The following is a 17,510-nucleotide window of genomic DNA, read 5'->3' as shown; positions in this document are numbered from 1 at the left end:
CTCCTCAATTTTTTGGGATAGTTTAGCTAGGATTGGTACCAGCCCTTCTTTATATGTCAGGTAGAATTTGGCTGTGAATCTGTCTAGTCCAGGGCTTTTTGTTGTTGGTAGGTTTTTGATTATGGTTTCAGTGTCAGAACTTACTCTGGTCTGTTCAGGGTTTCAATTTCTTCCTGGTTCAATCATGGGAGAGGGTGTATGTTTCTCGGAATGTATCCATTTCTCTAGGTTTTCTAGTTAATGGGCATGGACATATTTGTAATAGTCTCTGATGGTTTTTTATATGTCTCTAGGGTCAGTGGTAATGTCCCCTTTGTCATTTCTGATGGTGTTTATTTGGATCCTCTCTTTTTTTTGCTCTATTAGTCCAGCTAGCAGTCTACCAGCCTTATGTGTTCTTTCAGAAAACCAGCCTTTAGTTTTGTTGATCTTTTGTATGTTTTTTTGTGTCACCATTTTGTTCAGTTCAGCTCTGATTTTGACAAGCCTTGGGGGATGGTGTCCCTGGCCATGCTCCACTGCAGCAGGTCCCATGGCAAATGCTCTGGGTTCCATGCAGTGGAGTCTTGTCCCCGCCAACACTCCAAGAATCTCTCCCTTGCCAGCCCAAATGTCCATGGGTTCTCCTGTAGCTAGGATTCCAGAGTTCCATAGTGAGAGTGGGCCGCTCCATGTCTACTTCACTTATCCCTTCCCCAGAAGCCACTCAGGGCAAGGAATAAGTCCTGATGCTTGTGTACCCTGTGACGGTTCCCTAGCTTCTTGCTCCTTCAGTCCAGGATCTGTGTCCTCCCTCCGACTACTCTCAATGCCTTCCTTCTGAAGATCTGCTCAGAGTGTGCTAGTCTTCTTGATGGTCTTATCTCTTGGTGGGAGATGCTCTTGCTGGCTGGCTATCTTGGCTCTGAGCCCCCTTGTCTTTTTAGATCTACTTAAACATTTTTTAAATAAGAAGGCAGTCAGGGGGCATTTTATTACAGATTGTATACTACTACATTTTCTGGCTGTCATAATGTTTTGTGTTGTAGTAGGCATTTAGGTATATATTTTGATACACTTATTAATTGCTTTCTCTAGTGTGGGAAACATTCATTTCAAATGATTGCCAAGGAATATGTAATCTCATTGATGATGTAATATTCTATAATTTCTTTAAACTTCATGAGAACCCTTTATTACATCTCTACGAGGTGTTTCTGCTGAAATACATAGTGAACTCTTGCAAACTGTTAACTTCGTTTATAAAAGACTTGGCATGTTAGGATAAATATGTAATATTTCATTAAAACATAATCATGAAGAAATAGGCATTACAATAGACATGTATTCTAAATTCATATCACATTTTTCAGCTTCATCCAGGATATAGAAATGGAAGTTCTCAAGGCATAATGCTCTATGTAAATTATTTGAGGGTGGGTATATTCATCTGTTCATTTCTCTTTCAATACCTGAAGCAGGGCTTGCATGTACTAGACACTCAGTAAATATTTACTGAACAAATAAATAATGAAAATTTCATCCCTATGAACACTCATCATTTGTCTTGGAAAAATATATCAACTTAAAATTTATAAGCAATAAATCATTTACCTAAAATAGAAAAAGGTAGACAGTTATTTCCTGATGTAGTACTTTCAGTTCTAATGAATGGAATATCAGACTAAGCAAATTTTAATACCTAAGAATTTTTCTAATTAAAAACTGTGGTTATGAACTTTCAGAATAACAGATTTATAGCTTTTCCAAGTACTTTAGCATTCATTGTATTTGTTATACAGAGAAATCCTGTGAGATAGGCTATCATATATTATGATTTTTCATTGTACAAATGAGGGAACTGGATCTCAGAAAGATTAATTGGTTACTCATGGTTACAGTTTGTGAGAGGGAAAGGTAGGTCTCAAACCCCAAGTGTCAATGCCTCTAAAGGCAGATTTACTTTCCATTTCACAACATAGCTTTCTCCCTGCTTGACACTTAAATAATGAAGTATGTTGAAATGAAAAGGGAGCTTACATCCCATTCTAACCCCCAGCACTGCAACTGTGTGATTATGTGATGTTGGGCAAGTCAGGTGATCTCATATCCAATATTTTTTTTTCTTCTGCAAACCTCAAATTTATAAGCCAAATTTTGCTTTTCATCATGTGTAGTGATAAGAAATCTCTTGTTAGTGATTATATTCTGATAGCCTTTATTCTGGGTATATTATTTATCTGTTTCATATGCAGTTTGTAAGCTTACTGAGGGCATAATTTATCATTAAATATAAATATAATTACGTTAAAGTATATGTATATATGTATGTGTATGTATTTGTATATATGTATACTGCATTTCTGATAGTGCCCAGTTCAATGCAAGGAGCAGATTAGGAGCATATTCTGTATGTATCCTTGTTAGTCTCTTTCTACTTAGGCAGCAATGCAATTGATGAACTCTGATTAGTGAACATCTGGCAGTAAGAAGGTTATCCTGGCATCCACTGTTAGCAGATACCAGATGTAATGTCCTAGCTATGCCCCCCACTCCTTTCATTGACTGTGTTGGTAAATTATGATGGTTTTACCTTGCTGAGAAAATGTTTTGGTACTTGTCTCATGTAATTTAAGCAACTCGTAACTGTATCTTATTCCTTTAGTAGAAAACCGCACTGCACAAATAACATCCACAGGAAGCCTTGTATTCCAAAATTTTGAGGAGAGTATGAGTGGAATTTATACATGTTTCCTCGAATATAAACCTACTGTGGAAGAAATTGTTAAACGTCTTCAACTAAAATATGCTATATATGGTAAGAAGTAAAGTTAGTTGTGTTTTAACCTTTCTTAATGATTTTAAACATTTAAATATGTTTAAGTAGGCTTGTCTTAAAGGGACTTTGTTATTTTTAGTCTCATTTAATTAAAAAAGAATTACTGCCTCCCTATGTAAGTACTTTGTAAAGGGTTAGTGGTGAGGGCACAGAATGGTTAACAGATCGTAGTCTTTTTTTCTTCAGGGGAATGTTGACATGTACACACAGATAAATTTTAGGGCCAGGGATGTATAAATGTTTTCAAATTATTATGATGATATTATGGCTTGTACTATATTAAATTCTAAGTATTTTAAATTTGAGTATGATGATTTCTGGTACACTGCCATCCCCCAAAACAGGAGCGTGAAACACCACTATAAATTCCTTTTCTGGTGGATTGACCTTTTGAGGCTTACAATTGGCAGAGCTCAGTTGATATGTGTAAGAATTACAGAAAGAGGAAAGAAACATGAAAAGGTGGCTTGCCAGTCAAGACAGATTTATTTTAGAGAAAAGAAACCTGAGAGACGCCTTCTGGCCGAGTTAGGTCAGAGGCACACACTCTTACAGACTAAGAGTTTTTGAGGATTCAGGGTGGGAGAATTTATCAGAGGCTTGGACTGCTTCTGTGTCTCTTTGTTGTGCTTATCTGGGAGGGAGAGTTGTGTGTCTGTTCTCATACATCTTTTTGCAGCTGCAGGCATATCCCCCAAGTCTGCTTTTAGCTTCTCTATCTTAGTGCAACTGAAAGGAAAGGGATGTGCTTATTAAGGCTCACTTTTTTTTTTTTTTTTTTGAGATGGAGTCTCACTCTGTCACCTAGGCTGGAGTGTGCAGTGGTGCGATCTCAGCTCACTGCAACCTCCACCTCCTGGGTTCAAGCAATTCTCCTGCCTCAGCTTCCCGACTAGCTGGGACTACAGGCACGTGCCACCACGCCTGGCTAATTTTTTGTATTTTTGGTAGAGATGGGGTTTCACCGTGTTAGCCAGGATGGTCTCGATTTCCTGACCTCATGATCTGCCCACCTTGGCCTCCCAAAGTGCTGGGATTACAGGCATGAGCCACCACACCTAGCCAAGGCCTACTGTTTTACTGGGGCCCATTGTGTAAAGGTGAAGTTTGGCAGTTACCTGAGAGACTTTACCCCATCTCCCTCTGTGCCCCAGCTGTCTTATCTGTGTTTTACTGTCTGCTCTTTCTGGCTGCTTGTAATTAGAAGAGAGGTGATTTCCTCGAAATGCATGAGGCTAGAAAGGGAGCTGGAACTTAAAGTGGCGGTGTTTGTCCGAGATGACACTGCTCCTGCTCTGTCAATATGGAGTAGCCAGGAGAACAGCCTGAACTCAAGTTGCTAGTAGGTTCCATCTCACTGGTGGGACCCATGTGTGGCAGACAGAATAATGGCTCCTAAACATGTCCATATCTAGTCATATCCAGAACATGTAAGTGTGTTGCCCTACATGGCAAAAGGGATTTAGCAGATGGATTAAATTAAGGCTCTTGAGATGAGGAGATTATCCTGAATTATCTAGGTGGGTCCAGTGTAATCACAGGGTTCCTTCTAAGAGGAAGGCAAGAGGGTCAAAGGCAGAAAAAGGAAATGCGCTGACAAAAGGAGAACTTGCAGTGATTTTCTTTGAAAATCAAAGAAGAAGCCACATGCCAAATAATGAAGGCAGCCACTACAGCTAGAAATGACAAAGAATTGGATTCCCCCTAAAGCTTTCAGAATGAATACAGCTTGATTTTTGCTTAGTAAGACTCATTTTGGATTTCTGATCTCCAGAGCCATAAGGTAATAAATTTGTGTTGTTTAGAACATTAGGTTTGTGGTAATTTGTTACAGTGTCAATAAGATAACTTACACACCATTACTTTGACAGCAAGGGTGCCAAACAACTGGCAGAATTATTAGTGGTTTCTTGATGATATTTTGGTTAATCAAAAAATACTTTCCCATGTAGCCAAAGAGAAACATAATGTTTTGGTAAGATAATTAACTTTGTTAGGCAAATAATTTGTTTAAACCTTTTAATCAGTCATGTTTCATTTTTGTTACATAGTAGTTATCTCCATCTTGTTACTTCAGGTACCTAACTTATAATAAATGTACTTCAGAATCACTCATAAGTACATATTCACATATGCTAACAAATGTAAAAGTGCCTAAAATGAGTGCTGGTTTATAATAATGATAATGATAGCTAATATTTACTGAGCACTTATGAGGTACCAGGCAGTGCTTGTTTTTACATGTAATTATTACAACAACAGCAAAATCCATATTTATATAATGCTTGCTTAGTGTAAGCATTGTTCTGATTTATTTATATTAAATGTATTTCAAAACAAACTGTGATGTAGGCACTGCTATTTTTGGTCTCGTAAATGTAAGGAAACAGAGTGGTTAAGTGACTTTCTCAAGACCATAGCTATTAAGTAGGGGAGGGAAGAACTCAGATTTCAATTTAGGAATTCTGGTCCTAGAGTTAGTATTCTTATGCTTTATGATATCCTACTATGTACACCACTGTTATATGAATGCCAGCAGGATGAAGACCAGATTAATAAACTGACTTTGGAGACCTACTCTTTTTATGCTTAAAACAAATGCAATTGATTCTATTTTATTATACATAGCTCCTTTAATCTTTGTAATAGCTACATGGTGTTTCAGATTTTATTTGAGTGTTCTTCAGTTAATTATTATTTAGTTTGTTTCACATTTTCCCTTCCTCAGATGGTACTGTATGAAACATTTAAATATCTGTCCATCCATCCATCACTGATCTGTGTATACACACAGATACACCATACCCCCCACCATACTAACATTGCTGTATTTTGTAAGATAAGTTGTTAGTCTTTCAGAAAGATGAATTCTGTAAAGGAAAATCTGCAGGGAATTCATAGTGCTATTTTGATTGATTCTTTTGTATAGCAGTTTGCAACCTTGCTATAATAGATGAGAACCTCAGTTTCTAAAACCCCTTTAATGCTGTATTTTGAAGTGTTGCCAATATAATAAATTAATGGTATTTTGTAGTTTTAATATGCATTTTTTGGACTTTGGTGGGTTATTCAAATCTTGTTATTTGTGTGAGCTCTGTGTGTGTGTATGTTTGTGTGTCTGAATAGCTACTGAGAGATATATAGCTATGTAGATATTAATTTTATGTCAAATGCATTGCATTCTGTATTTTGTTCTTAGCTTATTAATCTCATATTCTAAGTAAAGGATAATTGCAAACTTAAAAATTTTATATAAACTACAAGTGGTATTTTCTTTTTGACTCATGTTTTTTACTGTGTTGAGCAAGATATTCACCATTACCTGGATTGTAAGAAGTAAAATCAACTTATAATTTTCTATATATATAAAACCTTTAAAAATTTTAGAAAATTAGAAAAATAAAATCAAGAATTGTTATCGGTTTTGAATATGGCAAGACACTAGGTATAAAATGGTGACTCATTGCTTTAATATACACTGCTTAATTATTAGTGAGTTAGAACATCTTTTCATATTTTTATTATTCAGTAGATTGCCTTTTCAATTCCACTGTCATCTTCCTTTCGCATAGTTTGTCTTTTTCTTACTAATTTTTAGATATTTTGCTATTCTGGATACTAGTCTTTTCTTATGCATGCTTTAAGTAATTTCTACCTTCTCTCACTTAAGATGTTTATACTAACAGAAGTTTCAATTTTTTTTTTGTAATGAGAGCTATCAATTTTAATTCTCTGAGTTGTTTTGCTTTTGTTTTGTTTTGTTTTGTTTTCTAAGAGATTGTTTCCTATCTAGAAAATAAAAATTGCCCAGAACTTTGGGAGGCCGAGGTGGGTGGATCACTTATGGCCAGGAGTTCGACGCCAGCCTGGGCAACATGGAAAAACCCCGTCTCTACTAAAAATACAAAAAAATTAGCCAGGCGTGGTGGTGCATGCCTGTAATCCCAGCTACTCAGGAGGCTGAGGCCAGAGAATCACTTGAACCTGGGAGGCGGAAGCTGCAGTGAGCCGGATCATGCCACTGTATTCCAGCCTAGGTGACAGAGTGAGACTCTGCCTTAGACAGCAAAAAAGAAGAAAAGAAAAGAAAAATTGTTTCCTATATTTTCTAGGCCTATTTTTTAAAAACAGGAATAAATTAACATCTTTTATTTGTTAGACAAAGAGCAATGTTCAATATAAATTTTCTTAAGACACTTAAAACCTGTGAATTTCTGACCAGTTCACAAAACCACCAGATGATACTTCAGCATGAAGTAAAAAACAGACTGTCAGCTCTAAAGATGTTACAGAGCAGAAATTTCCAAATGTGTTATACAAGCTTTCTAGGCAAATGAATAATCTGTCTTCTATAATATATTAACAAAAATTCAAAAGATAAGATTATGTTTTGACGTACTTAACAAGCATTCCTTCTTCGTCTCCAACAAACAAAGCTAAGGAAATAATGTAACCATTTTCACACAGAAAATTAAGGCTGTAAGTGATACACAAGAACAGAAGTGGTTGAGCATTAGAACTGTTCTGCTTCATTGTCATACTCGAATTGTTGGCTCTTAAACCATTTTCAGTTACATACAAGGAAAGGTTATTATATGTTCAGCAATTACTAAGTTTTCAATAATTTAAGGTCCAGTAGTTTAGAAAAGTAGACTGAGAATGGTCCTGAAAAGGCAAGTTAAACCTTAGGTCTGTTTTTTCAGGTTAAACTTTTTGTTTTGAGATAAATGTAGATTAACATATGGTTGCAAGAAATAGTACAGACAGATCACATGTATTCATTACCCAGCCTCCCCAAATTGTAATATCTTGTAAGCTAAGATATTGATTTTGTTACAATATGTAAAATATGATCTTATTCATATTTTTCCAGGTTTATGTGTACTTTTGTGTGTGTGTATGTAATTCTGCCATTTTTATCCCATGGGTAGGCTCAGGTATCTACAACCATAGACAAGATACAGAGCAGTCCCATCAAGACAAGGATACCTTGTGTTGACCTTTTATAATTGAACCCATTTTCCCTCCTACCTCCATCCAGAATTACTGGCAACCACCAATCTTCTCTCATTCTGTATTGTCGTTTCAAAAGTATTATACAAATACAGTGCTATAGTACATAATCTTAGGGGATTGACTTTTTTTCATTTTTCCAAATTCCTTTATAAGCTTTGTGCATCTATCACACACTCTTTCTTATTGCTGAGTTGCATGGCATAGTATGCATATACCACAGTTTGTTTAATGACTTATGCATTGAAAGATATCTAGGTTGCTTTGCGTTTTTGGCTGTTGCATGTAAAGCTTCTATGGACGTTTGTGGATTGTTTTTCTATAGACATAAGTATTTATTTCTGTGGGGTAAATACCTAAAATGCAGTTGGTTGATCATATGATAGTTGAATATTTAGTTTTATAAAAAACTGCCAAACTGTTTTTCAGAATGGCTGTACCATTTTGTATTCCCACCAGCAATATAAGGATAGTCCAGTTACTCCATGTCTCCACCAGCAATTGGTGTTATAATTATCTTTTGTTTTAGCCATTCTGATAGGTGTGAAGTAATATTTCATTGTGGTTTTAATTTGCATTTCTATAATTTCTAATGATGTATTAAATATATTTTATGAGTTTATTTGCCATCTGTACATCCTCTTAGGTAAAATTTCTGTTCATATCTTTTGACCATTTTTTCATTGGATTGTCTGATATATTAACATTGGGTTTTTTGATATTTAATACACATATACAGATAGATAGATACTCTTTCTTTGTTGGATATATATTATTTGCAAGTATTTTCTACCAGTCTGTATTTTGTCTTTTCATCCTCTTGACAGGATGTTTGCAGAGCCTGTTTTAAAATTTGGTTTATCAGATTTGCTTTTGTGAATCATGCTTTTTGTATTAAGATGAAAAATTATTTGCCTTGTTCTAGATCCCAAAGATAGTCTGTTTTTTTTCTGAAAAGTTTTGTAGGTTTCCTTTTTTTAAAAAAAAATTATTTTCATTTTAAGTTATTGGGTAACATGCAGGATGTGCAGGCTCGTTACATAAACATGTGCCATGGTGGTTTGCTATCCCTATCAGCCCATCACTTGGATATTAAGTTCAGCATGTATTAGCTATTTTTCCTAATGTTCTTCCTCCTCACACCACCGACAGGCCCCAGTGTGTGTTGTTCCCCTCCCTGTGTTGATGTGTTCTCATTGTTCAGCTCCCACTTATAAGTGAGAATATGTGGTGTTTGGTTTTCTGTTCCTGCATTAGTTTGCTGAAGATAATGGCTTCCAGCTCCATCCATGTCCCTGTAAAGGACATGATCTTGTTCCTTTTTATGGCTGCATAGTATTTCATGGTGTATGTGTATCACATTTTCTTTATCCAGTCTATCACTGATGGGCGTTTGGGTTGATTCCATGTCTTTCCTTCAATGACATGGAATCATTATTTGCTTCAATGAATAGTGCTTCAATGAACGTATCAGTGCATGTATCCTCGTAACAGAATGATTTATATTTCTTTCGGTATATACTCAGTAATGGGATTGCTGGGTGAAATGGCATTTCTGGTTGTAGATCTTTGAGGAATTGCCACACCATCTTCCACAATGGTTGAACTAATTTACACTCCCAGCAACAGTGTAAAAGTGTTCCTGTTTCTCCTCAACCTCGACAGCATCTGTTATTTCTTGACCTTTTAATAATTGCCATTCTGACTGGTGTGAGATGGTATCTTATGGTGGTTTTGATTTGCATTTCTCTAATGATCAGTGATGTTGAGCTTTTTTTCATGTTTGTTTGCCCCATGAATATCTTCTTTTGAGAAGTGTGTGTTCATGTCCTTTGCCCACTTTTTAATGGGGTTGTTTTTTTTCTTGTAAATTTGTTTAAGTTCCTTGTAGATTCTGGAATATTACACCTTTGTCAGATGAATAGAGTGCAAAAATATTCTCTCACTTTGTATATTGCCTGTTCACTGTGATGATAGTTTCTTTTACTGTGCAGAAGCTCTTTAGTTTAATTAGATCCCATTTGTCAATTTTTGCTTTTGTTGCAATTGCTTTTTGCATTTTTGTCATGAAATCTTTGCCTGTGCCTATGTCCTGAATGGTATTGCCTAGGTTTTCTTCTAGGGTTTTTATAATTTTAGGTTTTTTTTTTTTTTTTTTTTTTTTTTGAGACGGAGTCTCGCTCTGTCGTCCAGGCTGGAGTGCAGTGGCTTCAATCCATCTTGAGTTAAGTTTTTAATAAGGTATAAGGAAAGGGTCCAGGTTCAATTTTCTGCATATGGCTAGCCAGTTCTCCCAGCACAGGTTTCCTTTTTATATTTAACTATGGCATGCATTTTCAGTTAATTTTTGTGTAAAGTGTGCTGAGGCTTGGTTTAAGGTTGATTTTTATTGCTTTTATTTTTTACATATGGATGTTCAGTTGCTTCAATATTATTTCCTGAAAAGGTTATTCTTCCTCCATTGAGTTGTTTTTGCATCTTTGTCAAAAATCAGTTGAAGATATTTGTGTGGGTGCTTTTTTCCTAGGTTCTGTAATTTCTTCCATTGATTTATAGTTTTATACCTCCTCTACCAGTGCTACACTGTTGATTACTGTAAGTATATAGAAAACCTCAGCACCAAGGAGAAAGTTCTTTTCAAGATAGTTTTCAAGAATAGTCTTTGTTATTTAAATGTCTGTCCCTTTCCATATAAATTTTTGAATATTCTTATGTGCATCAACAAAATATCCTAATGTGATTTTGATGGGAATTACATTCAATTTATAGATTAATTTGGGGAAGAATTGCATCCTTCCTATACTGTGTCTTCTAGTTTATGAGCATGGTATGTCTATCCATTTAATTAGGTCTTTGATTTCTTTCATTTGCATATACATGTTTTGTTAAGTGTATACTAAGTGTGTTATTTTGATTTTTTAGAATAATTATAAATATTATATTTTAAACTTTTAATTACACATGTTTATTGCTAATATGTGTAATTTTGTGTTGATTTTGTATCCTGCCACCTTGTCAAAGTCATGTAACAATACTAGATTTTTAGATTTTGGTAGATTCTTCGTGAGACATTTATGGCATGTTGACACAGAGACAGAATCTGTGTATTTGTTATTTATTTTTGTTTTTTTTTATTGAGGAGCCTAGGACTTTAGATATATGTTGAAAAAGTATGTTGAGAGTGGGCATCATTACCTTTCTCATAATATTAGGGGGAAATAATCTAGTCTTTCACCATTGAGTATATATAATGTTAGCTGTGGGTTTCTTGTAGGTGCCCATTATCAGATGGAAGAAATTCCCTTATTCTACGTTTATATTTGAGGATTGTTTTTATTGTGAAAGGATGTTGGATTTTGTCAAATGTTTTTTCTTACATAAGTTAATATAAATGTGTTTTTTATTTCGTACTTCATTACTATGGTTTGTTACATGAATTGATTTTTTAAATATTAACCCAAACTTGCATTCTCGGTTTAAATCCCACTTGGTCATGGTGTATGATTTTTTTCAATATTTTGCTAGATTTGATTTGCCAGTATTTTATTGGGAATTTTTGCATTTGTGTTCATAAGAGATACTGGTATATAGTTTTCTTGTGATGTCTTTGGTTTAGGTATCAGGGTATTACTGGCTTCATAGAATGCGCTGGGGTGTATTCCCTTCTGTTCCAATTTTGAAAGTGTTTGTGAAGAATTGTTGCTAATATATCTTAACTGTTTGGTAGAATTCATCAGTGAAGACCTTTGGGCTTGTGTTGTTTTTCATAGGTAGTTTTTTGATTACTAATTCAACCTTTTTATTACAGGTCTAATCAGATTGTCTGTTTCTACTTGAGTCAGTTTCAGTAGTTTGTGTCTTCCTAAGAATTTATTTTATCTAAATGTGTCTAATTTGTTGGCATAGAGTTGTTTGTAGTATTCCTTTGTAATTCTTTTATTTCTTTAAGGTCAGTAGTCTCTCCCCTTTTTTCTGATTCTAGTAATTTGAGTCTTCTATCTCTTGTTTTTGTAAATCTAGCTAAAATTTGATCAATTCTGTTGATTTCTTAAAAAACTGGTCTTGGTTTCATTGATTTTCACTATTTTTTATTTATTATATCACTTATCTCTGCTGAAGTCTTTATTATTTTATTCATTCTGCGTGTTTTATATTTAGTTTTTCTATTTTCTCTTTCTTTTTCATTGTCCGAAGATAAAAGATTAGGCTACGTGAGAGCTTTCTTTTATAATATGCCATGCCTATGGCATATTATTTCCCTCTACGTGCTGTCTTACCTGCATGCCATAGGTTTTGGCATGTTTTGTCTTCATTTTCATTTATATCAAGATTATTTCTAACTTATCTTTTGATTTTTTCTTTGATCTATTGATTATTTAGGAGTCTGTTAATTTTCATTTCTGAGTTTTTCAAATTTCTTTTGTTGCTGATTTTTAATTTTACTTTATCAGAGAAAATAATTTGGATTATTTCAAAGGTTTATGGCTTAGTATATGCTTTATCCTTGAGAATGTTCCATGTGTATTTGAGAAGAATGCATATTCTGCTGCTGTTAGCCAGTTTACTGTAGATGACTCTCAGATCTATTTGGTTTATAGTGTTGTTCAGGTCTTCTATTTCTTTGTTGATCTTCTTCCTAGTTTTTTTATTCATCATTGTAAGTGGGATATTGATGTCTCCAATTAATATTGAATTATCTAATTCCTCTTTAATATCTGTATGTTTATAATTGTTCTTTCTTCCTGATATACTGACCTTTTTATCATAATAAAAGTCCCTTTTTTCTTTAGTAACTTTTCGTTGTTGTTTTAAAGTCTGTTTTTTGTTTTTTCAGTGTTCCTTGTACCTGACTCTGTAGGAGAAGCGTATTCTATTTTTCTTGAGAAAGATATCTACACTCAGTATGCCTAACTCTTCCTTTCACCCTCAGTTACCCTCCCATACTATTCTGGTACTTGCATCTGCAATTGCATGAAACTACTGAGGTTAAGGTTATCAATAGTCCCCTTGTTGTTAAATCCAACGGAAACATATTTCTCATTGTGCAGTGGTTCTGCATCCAGTGCTTCCTCGCGCACTCCACCCACTGGGCCTCTGTTCCAAATCAGATCTTCTAATGACCTATTGTGATATGGAGATATTGCCATACATTCAGGAAAGCTGTGGGGGACTTGGTTTAGTTCCTGGCTGGAAAGCAGGAACTTCGATCATTTTCTCATGAGGCACCCTGCTTGTTATGAGCCATAGCTTCAAGCAGCGGTTGTAGCCATTTGGGTTTTTTTTTTTTTTTTTGCCATTTGGGTTTTTTAGCTTCTATGAGCAGAGTGCTATACTCAGTCCCTAGTTTTATTCTGTGAGTCTAGTTTTAGTCTCCTATCTCACATAAAAATCATGTAAGGCTATTCTCCACAGAGGCCAAGTTCCTGCTGCGACTTCCCTGCTACTGTGTCCATAGACCAGCAACCCTATGGCATTTTCCCCACATTGTATATGTACTCTGTGTCTGGTCTGTAAAAATATCCATCTCCTTTTTGACCTGACCCTTGACTTTTTGGTATTGTCCTTTAATATATCATTAGCATTAGTGTATAATTTTATCAGAAAGGATCTGGAAGCATGATATATTGTGAAGACATCTCCCACCATTTCTTTTTTTTTAATTATAGTTTAAATTCTGGGATACATGTGTAGAACATGTAGGTTTGTTACATAGGTATACACATACCGTGGTGGTTTGCTGCACCCATCAATCTGTCATCTACATTAGGTATTTCTCCTAATGCTATCCCTCCCCTAGCTCCCCCACCACCCAACAGGCCCTGGTGTGTGATGTTCCACTCCCTGTGTCCATGTGTTCTCATTGTTCAGCTCCCCTTTATGAGTGAGAACATGCAGTGTTTGGTTTTCTGTTCCTGTGTTAATTTGCTGAAAATGGTGTTTTCCAGCTTCCTCCATGTCCCTGCAAAGGACATGAGCTCATCCTTTTTTATGGCTGCATACTATTCCATGGTGTGCGTATGCCACATTTTCTTTATCTAGCCTATCATTGATGGTCATTTGGGTTGGTTCTAAGTCTTTGCTATTGTGAATAATGCTGCAGTAAACATACATATACATGTGTCTTTATAGTAGAATGATTTATAATCCTTTGGGCATATACCCAGTAATGGGATTGCTGGGTCAAATGGTATTTCTGGTTCTAGATCCTTGAGGAATCACCACACTGTCTTCCACAATGGTTGAACTAATTTACACTCCCACCAACAGTGTAAAAGTGTTCCTATTTCTCCATATCCTCTCCAGCATCTGTTGTTTCCTGACTTTTTAAGGATTGCCATTCTAACTGGTGTGAGATGGTATCTTACGGTGGTTTTGATTTGCATTTCTGTAATGACCAGAGATGATGAGCTTTTTTTCATATGTTTGTTGTCCACATAAATGTCTTCTTTTGAGAAGTGTCTGTTCATGTCCTTTGCCCACTTTTTGATGGCCATTTTTTTTTTCTTGTAAATTTGTTTAAGTTCCTTGTAGATTCTGGATATTAGCCCTTTGTCAGATGGATAGATTGCAAAAATTTTCCCCCATTCTGTAGGTTGCCTGTTCACTCTGATGATAGTTTATTTTGCTGTGCAGAAGCTCTTTAGTTAAATTAAATCCCATTTGTCAATTTTGGCTTTTGTTGCCATTGCTGTTGGTGTTTTAGTCACGAAGTCTTTGGCCATGCCTATGTCCTGAATGGCATTGCCTAGATTTTCTTCTAGGATTTTTATGGTTTTAGGTCTTACCTTTAAGTCTTTAATCCATCTTGAGTTAATTTTTATACAAGGTGTAAGGAAGAGGTCCAGTTTCAGTTTTCTGCATATGGCTAGCCAGTTTTCCCAACACCATTTATTAAATAAGGAATCTTTTTCTCATTGCTTGTTTTTGTCAGTTTTGTCAAAGATCAGATGGTTGTAGATGTGTAGCATTATTTCTGAGGCCTCTGTTCTGTTCCATTGGTCTACATATCTGTTTTGGTACCAGTACCATGCTGTTTTGGTTACTGTAGCCTTGTAGTATAGTTTGAAGTCAGGTAGCATGATGCCTCCAGCTTTGTTCTTTTTGCTTAGGATTGTCTTGGCTATATGGGCTCCTTTTTGGTTCCATATGAAATTTAAAGTAGCTTTTTCTAGTTCTGTGAAGAAAGTCAATGGTAGCTTGATGGGGATAGCATTGAATCTATAAATGACTTTCTGCAGTATGGCCATTGTCAATATATTGATTCTTCCTATCCATGAACATGGAATGTTTTTCCATTTGTTTGTGTCCTCTCTTATTTCCTTGAGCAGTGGTTTGTAGTTCTCCTTGAAGAGGTCCTTCACATCCCGTGTAAGTTGTATTCCCAGGTATTTTATTCTCTTTGTAGCAATTGTGAATGGGATTTTACTCATGATTTGGCTGTTTGTCTATTATTGGTGTATAGGAATGCTTGTGATTTTTGCACATTGATTTTGTATCTTGAGACTTTGCTGAAGTTGCTTATCAGCTTAAGGAGATTTGGGTCTGAGATGATGGGGTTTTCGAAATATAAAATCATGTCATCTGCAAACAGAGACAATTTGACTTCCTCTCTTCCTATTTGAATACCCTTTATGTTTTTCTCTTGCCTGATTGCCCTGGCCAGAACTTCCAATACTATATTGAATAGGAGTGGTGAGAGAGGGCATCCTTGTCTTGTGCCAGTTTTCAAAGGGAATGCTTCCAGCTTTTGCCCATTTATTATGATATTGGCTGTGGGTTTGTCATAAATAGCTCTTATTATTTTGAGATACGTTCCATCAATACGTAGTTTATTGAGAGTTTTTAGCATAAAGGGGTGTTGTATTTTATCAAAGACCTTTTCTGCATATATTGAGATAATCATGTGGTTTTTGTCATTGATTCTGTTTATGTGATGGATTACGTTTATTGATTTGAGTATGTTGAACCAGCCTTGCATCCCAGAGTTGAAGCTGACTTGATCGTGGTGGATAAGCTTTTTGATGTGCTGCTGGACAGTATTTTATTGAGGATTTTCACATCGATGTTCATCAGGGATATTGGCCTGAAATGTTCTTTTTTTGTCTCTGCCAGATTTTGATATCAGGAGTATGCCAGCCTCATAAAATGAGTTAGGGAGGAGTCCCTATTTTTCTATTGTTTGGAATAGTTTCAGAAGGAATGGTACCAGCTCCTCTTTGTACCTCTGGTAGAATTCAGCTGTGAATCTGTCTGGTCCTGGGCTTTTTTTGGTTGGTAGACTATTACTGCCTCAATTTCAGAACTTGTTATTGTTCTATTCAGGGATTTTATTTCTTCCTGGTTTAGTCTTGGGAGAGTGTATGTGTCCAGGAATTTATCCATTTCTTCTAGATTTTGTAGTTTATTTGCCTAGAGGTGTTTATAGTATTTTCTGATGGTAGTTTGTATTTCTGTGGGATCAATGTTGATATCCCCTTTATTATTTTTTTATTGTGTCCGTTTGATTCTTCTCTCTTTTCTTCTTTATTAGTCTGGCTAGCAGTCTATCTATTTTGTTAATCTTTTCAAAAAACCAGCTCCTGGATTCATTGATTTTTTGGAGAGTTTTTCATGTTTGTATCTCCTTTAGTTCTGCTCTGATCTTAGTTTTATTTCTTGTCTTCTGCTGGCTTTTGAATTTGTTTGCTCTTGCTTCTCTAGTTCTTTTAATTGTGATGTTGGGGTGTCAATTTTAAATCTTTCCTGCTTTCTCCTGTGGACATTTAGTGCTATAAATTTCCCTCTAAACACTGCTTTAGCTGTGTCCCAGAGATTCTGGTACGTTGTGTCTTTGTTCTCATTGGTTCCAAAGAACTTATTTATTTCTGCCTTAATTTTGTCATTTACCCAGTAGTCATTCAGGAGCAGATTGTCCAGTTTCCACATAGTTGTGCAGTTTTGAGTGAGTTTCTTAATCCTGAGTTCTAATTTTATTGCACTGTGGTCTGAGAGACTATTTGTTACAATTTCTATTCTTTTGCATTTGCTGAGGAACATTTTACTTCCAATTATATGGTCAATTTTAGAATAAGTCTGATGTGCTGAGAAGGATGTATATTCTGTTGATGTGGGGTGGAGAGTTCTGTAGATGTCTGTTAGGTTCATTTGGTCCAGAACTGAGTTCAAGTCCTGAATATCCTTGCTAATTTTCTGTCTCATTGATCTGTCTAATATTGACAGTGAGGTCTTAAAGTCTCCTACTATTATTGTGTGGGAGTCTCTAGGTCTCTAAGAACTTGCTTTATGAATCTGAGTGCTCCTGTATTGGGTGCCTATATATTTAGGATAGTTAGCTCTTCTTGTTGCATTGATCCCCTTACTATTATGTAATGCCCTTCTTTGTCTTTTTTGATATTTTTTGGTTGAAAGTCTGTTTTATCATAGACTAGGATTGTAACCCCTGCTATTTTTTGCTTTCCATTTGCTTGGCAAACATTCCCCCATCCCTTTATTTTGAGCCTATGTGTGTCTTTGCATGTGAGATGGATCTCCTGAATACAGCACACCAATGGGTGTCGAGACCATTTAGGTCATGGAGACCCTAACCCAGTGGTGCTAGAGGAATTAAAGACACACACATAGAAATATAGAGTGTGGAGTGGGAAATCAGGGGGCTGACAGCCTTCAGATCTGAGAGCCC

General features: G+C 35.7%; 1 protein-coding gene across 11 annotated transcripts in view; it reads left to right on the top strand.

Moving 5' to 3' along the window:
* ZPBP (zona pellucida binding protein) overlaps positions 1–17,510 on the top strand; it is a 252,593-nt gene that overhangs the window by 32,461 nt on the left and 202,622 nt on the right. For 7 of the 11 annotated variants that reach the window (XR_001744543.2, XM_011515097.2, XM_011515100.3 and 4 more), the window contains one exon: positions 2,645–2,797. The exons of 2 other annotated variants lie outside the window; for them this stretch is intronic. Coding sequence is in view for 8 of the 9 variants with exons in the window: in XM_011515097.2 (XP_011513399.1) it covers positions 2,645–2,797 (153 nt within the window). In the remaining variant the exon portion in view is untranslated. The remainder of the gene's footprint in view (positions 1–2,644; positions 2,798–17,510) is intronic. 2 more of the 11 variants (XM_011515096.3, NM_001159878.2) reach the window with 1 other exon arrangement.

Source organism: Homo sapiens, chromosome 7, assembly GCF_000001405.40.
Source record: "Homo sapiens chromosome 7, GRCh38.p14 Primary Assembly".
Classification (NCBI taxonomy): domain Eukaryota; kingdom Metazoa; phylum Chordata; class Mammalia; order Primates; family Hominidae; genus Homo; species Homo sapiens.
The sequence above is the reverse complement of the archived record's forward strand: the minus strand, read 5'-3'. Positions and strand labels throughout refer to the sequence as shown.